Source organism: Homo sapiens, chromosome 10 (genome assembly GCF_000001405.40).
Source record: "Homo sapiens chromosome 10, GRCh38.p14 Primary Assembly".
NCBI classification, from domain to species: Eukaryota; Metazoa; Chordata; class Mammalia; order Primates; family Hominidae; genus Homo; species Homo sapiens.
In genome coordinates this window covers 3,760,035-3,775,055 of record NC_000010.11, presented here as the reverse complement: position 1 = coordinate 3,775,055, position 15,021 = coordinate 3,760,035, and the positions used below count along the sequence as shown (strand labels likewise).

Here is a 15,021-nt window from a genome sequence, read left to right as displayed (position 1 = left end):
GTTCGCCATCTTCAGAGTGCTGGCCTCAGCTCGAGAAAGCTTTCTCTTGTGCTACATGAAAGAATTGTTGAGGAAAACTGTGCTCAAATGGAAACTAGGACTTTCTCAGATTGCCCTTTGCCCGTCTAATTACAGTTAAGTTATTTAGACATTTGTTGCGTTATAGCATACCATTTTTTAAATTAAAATCACCATTTTTGAAAAGTGCTGTTGTAGCTGTAAATGGACCCAAAGTCTCCCAAGTGTCCCCACTTTACCGGCCCCGTTCCCTATCCAAGTTGACCTGAGTGCTCAAAGGACAACACAGGCAATCGGAGGAAAGTGTCTTCCTTTTCTGCTGTAATTGCTACGGAGAAAGAACACAGCTTTCACACCTAACTCCCCTCTTTTCTGTTAATATTATGCCACCAGGAGCTACTTTTAAACAACCATCCTTGCCAAACGGAATTACTTTCCTAGCAAAATTTCATGATGATGCAGATAATGGTGTCTGCTTCCTACTTCTTGTGCTGTAGATTACAGGACCCCAACCCCCAGGCCACGGATCGATACTGTTCCAGATCAGTGGTGGCATTAGCTTCTCAAAGGAGCATGAACCACCCTATTGTGAACCGTGCATGCGAGGCATCCAGGTGGCATGCTCCTTATGGGAATATAATGGCCTAATGCCTGGTGATCTAAGGTGAAACAGATTTATCCCCAAACCGTCTCCCACCCCCACCTATCCCTACCCTTCTCCACCCCCAAGTCCCACCATCCCTGGTCCGTGGAAAACCTGTCTTCCGTGAAACCAATCCCTGGTGCCAAGAAGGCTGGAGACCGCTGCAGTAGATGTTATATCTATTTCACAGATGAGGAAAACTGAGGCCCTGAGAGACAACACAACTTTCCTGAGGTCACAGCTAGGAAGCAGCAGGCTCAGCATACTGGTCCAGGTCTCTTAGATGCGAAAGACCGTGCTTTTTGTCACCATCCCACACTGCTGTCTCGCCCAACCTTTGCTGTTCGATCTGCAGCAGCCACCATAATATGACATTACATGTATGAAATGCAGACAGGGCTTTCTCGCAATTCAGAAGCACTCCAGCTACAAATTGTGCTGTAATCCTGAGAAAACAAAAGTAACCATTTTGAATTGCTTTCAAGATATGAGACAGATGGCACATATTTATTTTTAATGTTTAAGAAGATAGAGAAAGCAATTGGAGATGTGACATCCTGCATTAATTGGCATGAATCACCTAATGCACACAGTTAAGATACAGAGAGACGAAAATGAGGCCCATGCATCACGCAAATGAGGACCACAACAAAGTGTGTTTAACTAGATTTATTTTATAACAAGGTCTTTCTGTTTCTAAGTAATTTTAACGAGAATTCTCTAAACGTCTGTGGATGAAGAGACAAAGAGGAGAGTAAATATGGGTTCCACATGTCCTGAGAGAAGCCACGCCAGGCGGCACGATCACCACAGAATCTTAAAAGACAGATTTAACCAGAATGCCCATTGGCCTACGAGTCCCGTTCAGCTGCAGTTGCTAGGTTGCATTTACTTTCCTTTACATGATCTGTACAAAACACTGTAAGTGTGTGTGTGTTTGTATTTAAATATATGTGTATGTATATATAAAATGTACATACATACACACAAATACACATGTATGTATATACATTTTATATATACATATACAAATATATATATATACATATACAAATATATATATACATATACAAATATATATATACATATACAAATATATATATACATATACATATATATATATATATGTCAATGATCACATGATCTCTGGAATTATTTTTTAAACTAAGAGCCCCAATTCAGATCTGCCATGAACAAACAACGAGCTTCTTTCGAAGCTCCAGGGCTTGGCTAATGGGTAACTGAACACAGGGTTGCACGCCATTTTTCCAAGATTTGCCCTTTGTTGACGACAGGCACATTTATGGGTGACTTGCAGGTATCAACCAAGCACAGCGCCGCTCCCCTTGATTTCTTAAGTTTCGCGTTACCACATTTCATTTGGTTCTGCAAGATCTGCTTCCAGATGTGCAAGATAGTTAATGACATGCACTGACATTATCAGTTAACTCACTCCAGAGCCAGGCGGCATGACCCAGGTGGCATTTTTCTGTTGGTGAGGAGACAAGAAAGTGGGGCAGTTTGGGCTGCAGTAGAATGCAGCCTTCTGAATCCTTTCAGATGGGAATGGAAAATCCTTCACTATCATCCCCACCTTCCTTGTGCAATGTGCTATCCTCCCCAAATAGGTGATTTATTCTCAGGTTCAGAAGCTAGATCAAGTGGGCTTACCATGACACATATGTGTGTTTGCTGGGGTTTATTTTTATTTTTTTTAAATCTAACTCCTCATGGTAAATTGCCTTTGAGCAACATTCAAATATACAAATAATTGAGTTCATGTAAATTAAAGAGAACTTAAGTGTTAGCTACCGATTTAAAACAGTCAGCTTAGGATCCAAACTTCAAAGCCATGCATTCAAAGGCCATCGTGCCCTGCCATAAGGTGGAGATAGGAGACAGGAGCTGCTCCAGGATGCGTAGGGCAAGAGACCACTAGAAAGTCCCCCATTTCTTTTGTTGCCATTGCTTTTGGTGTTTTAGACATGAAGTCCTTGCCCATGCCTATGTCCTGAATGGTAATGCCTAGGTTTTCTTCTAGGGTTTTTATGGTTTTAGGTCTAACGTTTAAGTCTTTAATCCATCTTGAATTGATTTTAAAATTGACAAATGGGATCTAATTAAACTAAAGAGCTTCTGCACAGCAAAAGAAACTACCATCAGAGTGAACAGGCAACCTACAAAATGGGAGAAAATTTTCGCAACCTACTCATCTGACAAAGGGCTAATATCCAGAATCTACAATGAACTCAAACAAATTTACAAGAAAGAAACAAACAGCCCCATCAAAAAGTGGGCGAAGGACATGAACAGACACTTCTCAAAAGAAGACATTTATGCAGTGAAAAAACACATGAAAAAATGCCCATCATCACTGGCCATCAGAGAAATGCAAATCAAAACCACAATGAGATACCATCTCACACCAGTTAGAATGGCAATCATTAAAAAGTCAGGAAACAACAGGTGCTGGAGAGGATGTGGAGAAATAGGAACACTTTTACACTGTTGGTGGGACTGTAAACTAGTTCAACCATTGTGGAAGTCAGTGTGGCGACTCCTCAGGGATCTAGAACTGGAAATACCATTTGACCCAGCCATCCCATTACTGGGTATATACCCAAAGGACTATAAATCATGCTGCTATAAAGACACATGCACACGTATGTTTACTGCAGCATTATTCACAATAGCAAAGACTTGGAACCAACCCAAATGTCCAACAATGATAGACTGGATTAAGAAAATGTGGCACATATACACCATGGAATACTATGCAGCCATAAAAAATGATGAGTTCATGTCCTTTGTAGGGACATGGATGAAATTGGAAATCATCATTCTCAGTAAACTATCACAAGAACAAAAAACCAAACACTGCATATTCTCACTCATAGGTGGGAACTGAAAAATGAGATCACATGGACACAGGAAGGGGAATATCACACTCTGGGGACTGTGGTGGGGTGGGGGGAGGGGGGAGGGATAGCATTGGGAGATATACCTAATGCTAGATGACGAGTTAGTGGGTGCAGCGCACCAGCATGGCACATGTATACATATGTAACTAACCTGCACAATGTGCACATGTAGCCTAAAACTTAAAAGTATAATAGAAAAAAAAAAAGAAATTAACTGGGAGGAAGGATGGATTTGGGGTATTATTAATAACAATAATAATAATGTCTACCAAGTGCTCACCACATGCCAGGAATTCTAAGTATATTCATTAGCTCAGATGTACCTGACCACAGAGTTTGGGCTCTTAACTATGTTACCATTCTTTGTTGTCTAAAACAGAGTTCTATAAAGAAATACTTAATTTGGAGATTAAAGTTTTTTAAATCTCAAAAAAAAAAAAAAAAGAAAGTCCCCCATTTCTGAAGCGGCTCCCAGCACGTTCCCCTAGATCTGAGGGGAGGTACAGTAAGATCAGTGAACGCTGGACGGAGCCTCGGCTGCATGGAACAGTAATGTCCACAGATGGTACCAAAGAATGTCGCACAGACCTTCCGGCCTTCTTCGCTGTGTAAGCAGCTCCTTCTCAAGGCTCAAGGATGGCAAGGGGAGGGAGCTGTGGGAACAAGGCCAGTCCCATTCTCTGCCCTGGGAGAAAGGTTTATAGGATTTAAGAGGGGAAGGCATGCCTGCAGCTGCTGGGTCACCATTAATCAATTGTGCCCCACCCACTGAGCTCCCTGCACTTAGGGAATCAGAAATGTTGCCTTTTCAGGATGTGTAGGTTTAGTAACTGGATCAGGAAATAATCTATACAACAAACCCCCGTGACAGGAGTGTACCTATATAACAAACCTGCACATGTACCCTTGAACCTAAAATAAAAGTTTTAAAAACAAGACAAGGCACAAACAAGCAAAACAAATCAAAAACTTTAAAGATGGCATTCAAATAACTTGGGTTTATCAATTTAAAATATTAAAAATATTTGCAACTCTGTAACTTAAAACAAAAAAAAAGGTGGACGTATCTTCATGACCAGCCTAGGGTAACACCTGGAAGCCAGGCTCCTGGATAAGAAAGTGGGGAAGCTATTACCCAAGTACCCCACGGCCATTTCTTTAAGCTTGTGAGTTTCCTTAGAAACTTTGAGCAGTACTACAATCTAGGAGTTACTGTTTTTAAAGGATTGCTAAGAATGGCATTTGCAAAGAGTAGACATTTACCCTGAGCGAGCAATGAGGAGTCTTCCTTTATGGAACCTACAAGGAAAGATTGCACTGATTTCTGGCTTTGGGATTGTTACTTAGACCCTTAGAGCTGTGTTTTTCTTACCTCTAAAATGGGGATAATGGGAACCTGTTCAGGATTATTGCAGGATGAGAGGTAAGGTATGCAGAGGACCGAGTCCATGTCCTGAGACACGACACATAAGCCACAGCGGATCACAATTATTACGGAGTGGTGGATATTTACTTTTTAGGAAAATAATTCTTGTTTTTCCCATTGAATTCAGTTGAAAATGGATTTAGTTTTTAATTTGCAATAAGAAAGGTTCATTTGCATTTAGGTTTCACAACATGATTTTCCAGTAAATTCAGGCAAGGACAAGCAAAGAACACGATGCTGGGTTTGTATGATTTATAAGGTAGTTTCCTCTTGCAATGCTTGCTGTGCTTCTGAAATCTTGCAGGAAGGAAGTTCTGCAAGTCTTTGGGTAAAACTCTCTGTCAAAAGCCGAGTCATACTGACCAATGGCGGAATTGAATTGACCAATAGATTCAGTGAGTTGAATTCCCTGTGATTTTGACAAAAGACAAGGAACCCAGATGTCCCGAGTTACTGCAGTTTCCTATTTTATTATTATTATTACTTTTTTTTTTTAGACGGAGTATTGCTCGGTCACCCAGATTGGAGTGCAGTAGCGTGATCTCGGCTCACGGCAACCTCCACCTCCTGGGTTCAAGCGATTCTCCTGCCTCAGCCTCCCGAGTAGCTGGGACTACAGGTGCCCGCCACCACTCCCAGCTAATTTCTTTTTGTATTTTTGGTAGAGACGGGGTTTCACCATGTTAGCCAGGATGGTCTCGATCACCTGACCTCGTGATCCACCCGCCTTGGCCTCCCAAAGTGCTGGGATTACAGGCATGAGCCACCGTGCCCGGCCTACAGTTTTCATGAGTGGCTGTGAATCCAGAGATTGGTCTAATTCTTCTGAATCAGGGCACTCTGCTTAAGGCACCACCAAATAGATGTCTCACCGTGATCCTCTGGAATAATTGCATTATTTGTTACATTCTTTGCAACTAAATGAATTATGTGGGTAGAACACCACTTGAATCACAAAGTATCAGCCCGTGTGCTAGAAGCCAATTTGATTTGACAAAGGTTTGTCCAACGACAATTATTATGCTTATATTCAGATATGCTGTTTGGCTCATTTTATTTTGTTCTGTTTTGATTAATTGAATTTTGTTATTTTTGGTTGATTATTTTCACCACCTTTTTCCCTGTGTGCATAACTCCCACAGACATGCCTTCTACGCCATCATTATCCTTAGTGGAAATGAAATCCCAAATATTTGCAGAGGGATTTATGTTGTAGTTATTGTTGCTTTCAGTTGCTGCTCTTCGCTTGTTTGTAAAATAGTCTCACTGGCTGTTTTCTGGGTTTTTGTTTTTTTTCTTCTACTAATAAGTGCTTCCTTGGGGCCTGATGCAGGTGGCCCATCTGAGTAAAAGAGTGCTTGCTGTGAACCTGGGAATGGCTCTCCCCTGAGATGACCCAGGGTTGCACAGGGCAGTCGTCATCATCCTCCTTGTGCAGGGGTGACCCTCAGACACAGCCAATTAACCCACGCAGCCCTGCAAGAAAGAGCCGGGGTTATAACCAACTCATCTCTCCGACTACCATAATATACACTGTTTAGCCATTTTATCAATTTCTCAAATTAGATGCTGCAGAAGTCACAGGTGCACCTTGATGAAATATGTGGCCGAACCACATCTATGCCCTATTGTCTTCCAGTGGAGCCCATACTCACCCTCTCACCTCTAAGCAACGGAACCCCATGCCAACCAGCAATGGGCCATTCTGGAGCCAGGTACGCATTTTCTTCATTCACCCACACAGTAAGTAGTGGGTGTCTCCAGGTGTCAGGCACCATGCTGGAAGCCCCTCTGTCTCTTCTTGCATGTTGGCTACTTGCGGAGCGTGAGCCCGAGTGTGAGGCGCCTTTCAGCTTTTATGTATTGTTGACAATGCATGATGAGGGACCTGGTCCTTTCGAAGCAAAGGCTGTGTGTGTGTGTGTGTGTGTGTGTGGGTGTGTGTGTGTGTGTGGCCTCAGCTCAATATCACAGTCTTCAGACAGAAGTGGGCTCAGTACCTGCTTTCTTGCAGTCGTGACCATGATGGTCAGCGTGCCCATTCCACGTCCATGTGTGGCTCCTTCGCTGCTGCCTTCACAGCCCCTTCTGACTGGTGTGGGATGAATCAGGTAAGAAGTCACCAGGGCCATTCATTCTGGCCCCAGATCACACCTTCCCTGCTCAGAAATGACACCTGTGAGAGAAAGAGGCAGCGGAATGTCCCCATTTATGGACAAGGGTTGAAGTTTCTACCATAGAATACTCAGGGTAGAGCTGAACAAGGTACAAAGAACATCTGTTTTCATTTCTACTGCTTAGCTGTTGAGCAGTAGTGAGTGTCCGGTATGACCTCCCTGAAGCATAATGACGTTCCAGAAATGGATGGAATGTCCTGGGAGAGCCAGTGGCCACCTGTACTCTGAGCATCTTCACCCTTCTCCCTTCCTCCCTGGAGGATGAGTCCTTTGGACAAAGAATTGTGCATACAGTTGTCCCCCTTATCCCAGGGCGACACGTTTCAAGACTCCCAGTGGATGCCTGAAAGTATGGAAGCACCAAATCCTATATATATATACTATGATTTTTCCTATACATACCTACCTGTGATAAAGTGTAATTTATAAATTAGGCACAGTAAGAGATCACCTATAACATAATAAAATAAAACAATTACAACAATATACTCTAATAAAAGTTATGTGAATGTGGTCTCTTTCTCTTTCTCTCTCTCTTCCTCTCTCTCTCTCTAAATTTCTTCTTGTATTCACCTATTTTGAGACCTCACCTATTTTGGGACATCAGTTGACCACAGGCTACTGGAACTGCCAAAGGCGAATCCGCAGATAAGGGAAGATTACTGGATAAAATTTAATGGCTCTTGACTCCTCAGCCCCTAGGAATGCTCAATGTATGAATGAATGAATGAATGAACAATGAGCCTGATGTTGTCACTACTTTGCTCTCTTCTCCAACAGCATGGACGCATTAATTCTAAGCAGGATCTCTAAATAAAACCAGCAACTCATTTGATCCAAAATATCAGACCCCCTCTGGTTCCTGTTTTGCCTAGAAGGGTTTACATAAGACCAATCACTCATTTTCCATTTCATTCTCTTCCTTCTCCCCTTTCTCAGTAGATGGAAAGCCTATGGGAAAGACGACGTGGTTAGACAGCAGAAGACAATGACCAGGGATGTCCACACACCTGTCAATTCAGTTCTCAATAGTACAACACCAGGAAGAACCCCCACCTGGGAAAGAAAGGACCTGTGAGTGTCCTTTTATTTTGACTTCATATTAATTGAAAGGCTACCCCCCAAATTGACAAATGCATTTAATGCTCCAAGAAGATTCACAGGCCCCAGAACATAGCTACTCAGGGAAATGAAAGTGAAATCTTATTAAAGCACGTTTTTTGTTTGTCATTAAAATTTAAACAATCGGGTGTTTCGACGCATCACTTCTGTGCTAAATGCAAAACCTTTGTAATTCCGGATGTGAGTCTTTTGCACAGGAGACACACCTCGGGTTTTCCCAGATGACTCGTTAAAACGTTTACAAATCCCAAACCTCCTTTTTCACAAAGTGCTGCCTTTTCCTGCTTTTTACTTGCAAGCCACTTGATGTTTATTTGACTACATTAAAACAGAATGGTTGTCTTTTTTTCTTCAAGGTCAACCAGACAGTTAAGCTGTCACTGTTCATCATGTATTCATCTTAACGCAGAACATTGCAAAGTGCATGTTGTCTTTTTCCAGTTAAAGGTAACGTGTGATGCAGTCAGTGTTTCAGATGGAAAAATGGACTTTGAATCCCTGCGTCCCATCCGAGGGCAGACTGGGTCTGCCCCTCCTCCACCAGTGCAGTCCCCTGGGAGGGCTGCTGTGGGCAGTGAGTGAGGAGGCCAGGGCCGTGCCCAGTACAGTCCTGACGAGCCTCTGACCTCGCTCCACTTTTACCCCAATGGCTAACTTAGAGGCACGTTGTTTTGTTTCCAGTCCCACGTCCACCATTCCTTTTAGTAACTCTTTTCCATTTCATCACGTTTTCATGATCAGTCACAAGGAAATATTCAGATCTCAGCAACAAATTAAATGCACCGAAGCTCAAAGGCCTGGGTTCCAGAACCCAGCTCCCTACTAGCTCTGTGATGTGGGCCAACACACTACGTATCTGAAGGAGAAATTCTCATCTTCCTAAATTCGCGAGTTGGTGAGGAGCTCTCAAGAGCAAATGCATGGAAATGCACCTTTAACTGGGAGAATTGTGTTCAAATATGATGCAGCTGCTTCATCACCTCCCTCTGCTTCAGTTTGTCATTTGTAAAACTGGGGTTGAGGATAGCAAATGTGCTGGAAGATTGTCAGGATTAAAAATTGTATCTGCAAGGAGCTTAGCCCCAGTCCTGGCACAAAGGTGGGTGATGTATGTCACAGCCCCATGGGATCCAGATTGTAATTGTAATTTCTTCTTTGTAAAACAGGGAAAACGATTTAAAAAACTACCCTCCTACCCTTGTTGCAGGTGTACAGGACTCAGAAACAGAAAGATCTGGGGTGGGTCAAAAGCAGACACATGCACCCAGTTGGCATTCTCAGGATGTCTTGAGCCCTTCACTGTTTCTAGAAGGTGCCTGTGCTTTGCTGTCCCTGCCACCTGCTCCCTCTCTTCCATCAAGTTACCCTAAAATATGACAGACAGAAATGGGGACTGCTGGCTTTGGCCATGAAAACATCCGCCCGCTTCCGGCTTGCAGGGAATAACTTGTGGTTTCCTCTGCTGCACATGCAAGTCATGAAGACGATTTTCATCTTTGCTTCATCATCAGTCATAGCTCTTACGATCTGCCCACTTCTGAGAGTCCTTTTCTTAGAGAGGGACATGTACTGCTGGCAGAGGAGGAGCTCTCAGCGAAGAAAATGGCATTACTGAGCATTTGTTGAATTTTGCAGTGACCTCCTTGTTTTGAAACGATCAAATCAATCCTTATTTGTGTAACTCAGGAGTGCAGAGTGCATTGCCCACACTCTGTCACTGTGAGGGTCAGTGCTTGCTGTGGTTGAGGGATGAAGAAAACTTTGGATATCAAGTGGCCTCAGGGCAACAGAACAGGTTTTCAAGGGACTATCACCTTTCCCTAGCAAACAACAACAGTGGCAGCTACAAGGCAAATACGGAAATGATCTTTGGTGTGCACAGATCACAAAGTTTGCACCTGCACAATCGGCTGGTTATGAACTCGGAGAAATTTCTCTCTTGCATCCTGACTGTTCTTTCTTAGCCCATTGCCTGTGTGGTGGCCCATGCCAGCAGCCTCTTCTGTCCTGTTTCTACAAGTGCAGGGACGTTACTGACAAGCCCAGTCTCACACCCTGTATGGGCAAATGCCTAGAACAGGGCTTAAATGAGAAGACAGATGTGCTTCAGAGTCCAACAGATCTCTCAAATGCCAGCTCCAGAAGTTTCTAACCATGAGAACTGATTAACACATGGGAGCTTTAACCTCCCTCTTTCTAAAGTGGGCATGGGGATGTCTACTGCTCAGGTTTACTGAGAGGATGGGTGCAATTCTGTACTTGCCGTTCAAATCCAGGACAGCCCTGAGGCTGCTGCCCCAGATCCCAGGAGCTCAGGGTGCCTCTGTCTGCAGAGGCTGGAGAAAAATTTATCTCTTGGCAGAACTCAGCACTCAGCAAACAGAGTATTCTGCTTCAAATTCCAGTTCAATCCTGAGTTCTAGTATCTTAAAGATAGAGACCTGAGACCGTTCAGATATTGTGTCTAACTCCTGTAGAACTTAGAATCATGAAAAGATCCTACGCAACAGGTTCTGTTCAGTCCCTTGGCCAATTTCAGCATGGTGACTTTTTCTCTGCCTACGTGTCTAAAACACGATTTTTATTTAATCTTACATAATAAGATCACAGTGTCAGCATCAGAGCTGAGAGGAGAACTCAGGATTCTGGCTCCTATTCCTGCTTGCTTCCTACTGAATCATGTTCATCACAGCTTCTGTGACCTCAGAAACCTCAGGCAACTCACGTATGGGGAATGAAGAATGGATTGCAACAGCGTCAGCTCTCGCCTTATCTACCTGAATTTTTGACTTCCCTTGTTACTTCATGTTTATGCCTTTATTTCCCCTCCCATCATCCCTCCCCAAATCAAAGAGCCTTTACCTTGTATTTTATATATGTCCCAAACATAAGCTACCCTGGCTTCTAGAAAAATAGTGGCTGTGTACAAACCATCCTTCTGTGTGGCTGTCAAACCAGCTAGGGAACCCTCTGTTTGGCTACTAGATTTTTGCCTTGATCATAGAACATTTGAGATCTTTGATAAATGAATGGGTGTTATTTGAATTTTCTATATTTAAATTTATTTTTACACCCAGAAGCTGATCTCAAGCAAGACGTTCACATGCTAACTATTGGGTTGGGTGGCAGGCACCATTAAGAGAAGCAGCAATTCTCCTTCAGGTACTGTGGCATGAACAGAAAAAATAGTCATTGGCTAAGTTGTTGTTCTACATTAGGGTTACATGCTCATGACTGCAGAACACAAATGACCAGGATTTTAGTCTCACTGAGAGCAGGCTTTCATCCTGGAGCAGCTTTTGGGGCCCAGGATCTGACCTCTGCAGGGGGACTGAGCAAGGCTGCAGTGACTCACCTCCCTGCACTCGCACCCACAGATGGTCCTGAGTCAGAAGCCTGGCACCTGGGTCGGGCAGCCGGGTAAGAGTGTGCACTTTCATCGTCTATTCATACCCGTCCTGGGAAAATCTTTCCAGCCTGGGAAATGGCAACCTGACACGTTTCACCGGGACTCAACTTCCTGAGCGTATGCACAGAAAACCCCACACCCTTCACCTTTATTGAACAAGGAGGGAGCCCGATAAGAATCGCTGAAGAAACGCGGGGAGTGTCCCGCACAACCGGATGGGTGTGGCAGGCAGCGTGGGCGAGTAGAGTGACCTGGGGCGGAAGAGGTGTCTGAATTTGCGTGGCTCCAGCGGCTCAACCCCTCCGAGTCTTCAGTGCAGTATCTGTGCAAAAGAGAAAAGCTTTGTAGATACTCTCTGAAATCGGCACTGAGCAGATACCCATTTCTTTTCCTTTCGCATTTGCAGAATGTAATATTTCTAGGGGAGCAGAAAGAATTGGTTAGGAAAAGGCTGTTAAGGAAGGAGGTAAGTAGACAGAGACGGGGTTTGCTGGAAATAATGAGGAAAAAGCTCGAGGCCACTTATGCACCTGCTGTCACGATTCAGCTGGGACCTTCTGAATCATACGAACCCAGAAAGGACAGCTGTGCTGTGTGCGTTGTGCGAATGACCATTTGCTAGAATAACGTATCTCCAGAATAATTTGTTTAGGGGCAATTTTATGTGTGTACATGGTATTCACAAATGTTTTATCCCCACAGTTAATTCAATGCAGGGACAGTTAACCCTTTTTTTCCCAGGGAATTTGGGACTGACCTAAGGACTCTCTGGCCTCCACTCCTATTGCCACACAAGTTTCTGCTGAGGCAGGAACCACCATGCCTTCCAGGGACCTCCAGTCAAAATCAATGAAGTCTGCAAACAATTTCAACTGTAGTATTGTAGCCCCAATAAATAAAGAGCACTTATTAAAACATATTGACTCGAAAAATATTTGACATGGTGTGTTTGTAACAGGAGAATGGGAGCTCAGGCCTTTCTTCTCATTGAAGATACCTCCACTCACCTTGTTCTCTATGGGGAGAAAAACAAATGAACAACAAACAGATTTTGAAGCCACTGTCCTTTCTAACAGGCAGGTCAGTGGGAGGATCCTATGCAAACTGCAGGTACAAACCCCACCCCTACTTCCCAGGACGAACCTCAGCGCCCAGTGTCATTCTTCAGGAATTCCAGCTCAATTATTAGCATGAAAGAGAGCACTGAAGGCTGGAAATGGTCAGCTCCTTCTTTTCCAAAGTGCAGAAAACCATACACCTTTGACCTCCTAATGCTTTACAGAATGGGCGTGAATCAAAAGCTTGACATCCAAGGAATTTCAACGTTGTTTGTGTGTGTGGCCCACATTTTCTAACCATGCTGGTTCAGCAAGTCAGGGGTAAGAACCGAAGGATGAAAAGCTTAGCCAGCTGGGCATGGATCTCTCACAGATTACCTCGGCTTCCAATCTTTTGTTCAACCCATTTAGCCTTGAATTTTTAATACATTTGTCAAATTTATTTATTTATTTATTTTTGCCTACCATTTCTTTCAACAGAGTCAATGATGACTTTATCTTGGTGTACTTTTTTTAAAAGCCCCAAAGTGTTTGGCCTAGAAATGACACAAAATGTTAAGGTTTAAGGTGCTTTTTGCTTTCTAAAATATGCCAGAATACCAAGCTAAGTAACTTCAAACTAAGGTGATGTCAGGTGAAGAGCCCCGGAAGTGGGACATTTTATCTTCCTGGTTAGTCCATTACATGCAAAGCAGGGGAATGAGGTGTTTTTACTATTTTATTGCTTTCAGAGTCAATTCTACATCAAGAGACAGAAACCAAGATGACTCAAGAGCTCTTGGAAAAAAAAAAAAAAAAACATTCTCTTAGAGAACTGCATGGTTTTCTTACGGCCTGTGTGGAGGGAAAGCTGTGATGAAGGACCTGTAATTTTTATTTGCAGACTTTCAGTTCTGCTCTCATTTTGTTGAAACCATTGGTTCCGTCTTTCATTTCCTATACCAAGCGCATCATTGAGACCAGCTTCTGGGTATTTATTTGCAGTCCTGATTGGCTGGGGTTCTGATGCACGAGGCCCTGCCATCTTCTCTGTGAGAAGTGTTGGTTCGTTTCTGGATGGAGGACTCAAGCTCATTTTAGGGGCTCTCCTAGAGGTAGGGGTGAGTGCTCCAAGGGTGGAACATGCGTGAAGAATCGGTTTGCTCTCCCTCAGCTCTGTGCATAACCAAAGGTTTGATACCAAATGCAGAAGTTGCCAATGGAAGAAAATGCCACTTCAACTGCATGTGGAACTGTGGTTTTGAACCCAAGTGAAAATCAGAAGATTCTGGGGAACTTGAAAGTTACCCGATGTGTTTGGCTCAGGGATTAAAAATTTGACTTATCTTCATTCTAAATGCAATACAGAGTCTGACTCCTGCACAGGCTAAAGAAAGCAAGAAAGAGAGAGAAAGAGAGAAGAAGGAAGGAAGGAAGTAGAGAGGGAAGGAAGGAGGGAGGGAAGGAAGGAAGGAAGGAAGGAAATGTATGTTTTTCTGCACCTTGAAGAATAAAACGCTGGCCACAATTAGCCTTCACTATTCTCCTTAATGCTAATAATTAAGCACAGATTCCTTAGTTAAGTATGAAACGGTTTTTGGAAAAAAAAGTGCTGGGAACTCAGAGGTGGGAATGATGATCTCAAAAGTTCTCTGGACTCTGTGCATCGCGTTCTCACAGCCTTTCATTAACCGTCTCCCTCTCACCCTCAACAGGTCTGAAAGGTAGAGAACGTGTGCTGTTACTCAGGTGTATCTGAGAATTATCTAGGCATATTTGTAAAAGAAAACAAAAAGCCCCTTTTATGCTTACAGTGATCCATTATCTCCAGTGTCTAATTTGGGAGCGGGACCAGGAGTAAAGTTCATGAAATGTTAGGTGGGTTAGAGACCACTGAGCCATCCTCTGCCTGACATGGGCATCTTGAAACTGCCTTGTGGCCATGTGCTGCATCCATGGTCTTGTCCCTGGAAAAGAAACAAAAAGGGACATGAGAACAGGTGGCAGTGTCAGCCGATGACGCTGGCCCCGGGCACCCAGAGGCCCCCAGAGTAGCTCAGGCTCGGGACCTCCTCTTATCCAGATGGTGGGACCGTGATGCGCAGAAACCGCTCTGCTCCAGAAAGACCTGGGAGCACTGGGAGCCGGGCGGACACAACGCGGTGTTTGCACAGATTCGCCCCTTACTTCTCAGTCACATCGGGGCTAAAAACTCATTTCAAAAAGAACTAACCTGGGGACTATCGCAAGGAGGCATCTTTTCATCCT

At 43.7% G+C, this 15,021-nt stretch overlaps 1 long non-coding RNA gene across 2 annotated transcripts, besides 4 other annotated features; it reads right to left on the bottom strand.

Annotated features, from left to right (window-relative positions):
- Positions 505–799: a silencer, noted in NCBI's record as "tiled region #3800; K562 Repressive non-DNase unmatched - State 18:Pol2". NCBI's record gives its function as "represses a minimal TATA promoter and a strong SV40 promoter by Sharpr-MPRA in K562 cells {active_cell/tissue: K562}" and the evidence as "EXISTENCE:reporter gene assay evidence [ECO:0000049][PMID:27701403]".
- Positions 5,736–14,754, bottom strand: LOC105376363 (uncharacterized). Of its 2 annotated transcripts, XR_001747332.1 has the most exons (4): positions 14,566–14,754; positions 11,663–12,038; positions 7,009–7,184; positions 5,736–6,484 (listed from the first exon to the last, which is right to left on the bottom strand). It is a non-coding gene; the product is annotated as an uncharacterized LOC105376363 (long non-coding RNA). The 2 variants fall into 2 exon arrangements; XR_001747331.1 differs by lacking the exon at positions 14,566–14,754 and having other exon boundaries at positions 11,663–12,683.
- Positions 8,035–9,234: an enhancer, noted in NCBI's record as "BRD4-independent group 4 enhancer chr10:3808014-3809213 (GRCh37/hg19 assembly coordinates)". NCBI's record gives its function as "activates an origin of replication core promoter dependent on BRD2, P300/CBP, MED14 and CDK7 cofactors, and independent of BRD4, by STARR-seq in HCT116 cells {active_cell/tissue: HCT116}" and the evidence as "EXISTENCE:reporter gene assay evidence [ECO:0000049][PMID:35650434]".
- Positions 11,261–12,460: an enhancer, noted in NCBI's record as "P300/CBP strongly-dependent group 1 enhancer chr10:3804788-3805987 (GRCh37/hg19 assembly coordinates)". NCBI's record gives its function as "activates an origin of replication core promoter dependent on BRD2, BRD4, P300/CBP, MED14 and CDK7 cofactors, with strong dependence on P300/CBP, by STARR-seq in HCT116 cells {active_cell/tissue: HCT116}" and the evidence as "EXISTENCE:reporter gene assay evidence [ECO:0000049][PMID:35650434]".
- Positions 13,876–13,975: an enhancer, noted in NCBI's record as "active region_2911". NCBI's record gives its function as "activates an Ori minimal core promoter by ATAC-STARR-seq in GM12878 lymphoblastoid cells {active_cell/tissue: GM12878}" and the evidence as "EXISTENCE:reporter gene assay evidence [ECO:0000049][PMID:35858748]".
- Positions 14,755–15,021: the final 267 nt, after the last annotated feature.